At 36.2% G+C, this 1,806-nt stretch overlaps 1 protein-coding gene across 1 annotated transcript; it reads left to right on the top strand.

Annotated features, from left to right (window-relative positions):
- The first annotated feature begins 267 nt into the window (after positions 1–267).
- IFNA16 (interferon alpha 16) lies at positions 268–1,206 on the top strand. Its single transcript, NM_002173.3, has one exon. The coding sequence runs from the start codon at positions 274–276 to the stop codon at positions 841–843; it is 570 nt and encodes a 189-aa protein (NP_002164.1). The 5' UTR covers positions 268–273; the 3' UTR covers positions 844–1,206.
- The last annotated feature ends 600 nt before the right edge of the window (positions 1,207–1,806 follow it).

The raw sequence follows: 1,806 nt of genomic DNA, 5'->3' as shown, positions 1-1,806 counted from the left end.
GATTCCAATTAGTAAAAAATACCATAAAAGTCTTTGAGTGCAGGGGAAAAATAGGCAATGATGAACAAAATGAAAAACATATGTAAACACATGTAGAGAGTGCATAAAGAAAGCAAAAACAGAGATAGAAAGTAAAACCAGGGCATTTAGAAAATGGAAATTAGTATGTTCACTATTTAAGAACTATGCACAGAGCAAAGTCTTCAGAAAACCTAGAGGCCAAGGTTCAAGTTTACCCATCTCCAGTAGCCTAGCAATATTTGCAACATCCCAATGGCCCTGTCCTTTTCTTTACTGATGGCCGTGCTGGTGCTCAGCTACAAATCCATCTGTTCTCTGGGCTGTGATCTGCCTCAGACTCACAGCCTGGGTAATAGGAGGGCCTTGATACTCCTGGCACAAATGGGAAGAATCTCTCATTTCTCCTGCCTGAAGGACAGATATGATTTCGGATTCCCCCAGGAGGTGTTTGATGGCAACCAGTTCCAGAAGGCTCAAGCCATCTCTGCCTTCCATGAGATGATCCAGCAGACCTTCAATCTCTTCAGCACAAAGGATTCATCTGCTGCTTGGGATGAGACCCTCCTAGACAAATTCTACATTGAACTTTTCCAGCAACTGAATGACCTAGAAGCCTGTGTGACACAGGAGGTTGGGGTGGAAGAGATTGCCCTGATGAATGAGGACTCCATCCTGGCTGTGAGGAAATACTTTCAAAGAATCACTCTTTATCTGATGGGGAAGAAATACAGCCCTTGTGCCTGGGAGGTTGTCAGAGCAGAAATCATGAGATCCTTCTCTTTTTCAACAAACTTGCAAAAAGGATTAAGAAGGAAGGATTGAAAACTCATTCAACATGGAAATGATCCTCATTGATTAATACATCATCTCACACTTTCATGAGTTCTTCCATTTCAAAGACTCACTTCTATAACCACCACAAGTTGAATCAAAATTTTCAAATGTTTTCAGGAGTGTAAAGAAGCATCGTGTTTACCTGTGCAGGCACTAGTCCTTTACAGATGACCATGCTGATGTCTCTATTCATCTATTTATTTAAATATTTATTTATTTAACTATTTTTAAGGTTTAAATCATGTTTTATGTAATATCATGTGTACCTTTACATTTTGCTTAATGTAACAATATATGTTCTTCATATTTAGTTAATATATTAACTTCCTTTTCATTAAATTTTTACTATACAAAATTTCTTGTGTTTGTTTATTTTTTAAGATTAAATACCAAGCCTGACTGTATAACCTGACTTAAAAATAGATGATTTAAGTAAGTTACCTATCATAATTTTATTCAAGTTATAGAAAAATATATTTTTCTATACCACGTTATATGTTGCCTTCAGGATATAAACTTGAACATAAAAAATACAGTTCTTGTTGTCTTGTATCTTTGATTTTTGTCAGGAAATGTTTCTAAAAACAATAATAATGCTGAATTAATATCAGTTATACTAACTGCTGTAATGTGAGGAAGTAAAAAAAAACAATGAATTCCTCTTAGCAGAACATAGATTAAGAAATGTCTGCAAGTAAAAGTAGAGATACTCTCTATAAACTGACTTTCAACATGTAATTGAAAATGTACATTGCAAGTCAGATATATGAGTTTGCAGTTTCCAAGGAATACGATATCTGGAAGTTCATAACTGGCAATGGAAAGGCCTAAAATGAAGGCTGTCATGTGGGGAGCAAGCGGAGAGGGAAAAAAAGACTTAAACTGGATTCTGAGGAACTTCCACTATTAAAGTGGGGGAACAGAAGACACACAAAGAAAACAGAGGTGGAA

Source organism: Homo sapiens, chromosome 9, assembly GCF_000001405.40.
Source record: "Homo sapiens chromosome 9, GRCh38.p14 Primary Assembly".
NCBI classification, from domain to species: domain Eukaryota; kingdom Metazoa; phylum Chordata; class Mammalia; order Primates; family Hominidae; genus Homo; species Homo sapiens.
The sequence above is the reverse complement of the archived record's forward strand: the minus strand, read 5'-3'. Positions and strand labels throughout refer to the sequence as shown.

Coding starts and splice junctions, on each gene's coding strand:
- IFNA16 (NM_002173.3), top strand. CDS start 274: ATGGCCCTGTCCTTTTCTTTACTGATGGCCGTGCTGGTGCTCAGCTAC.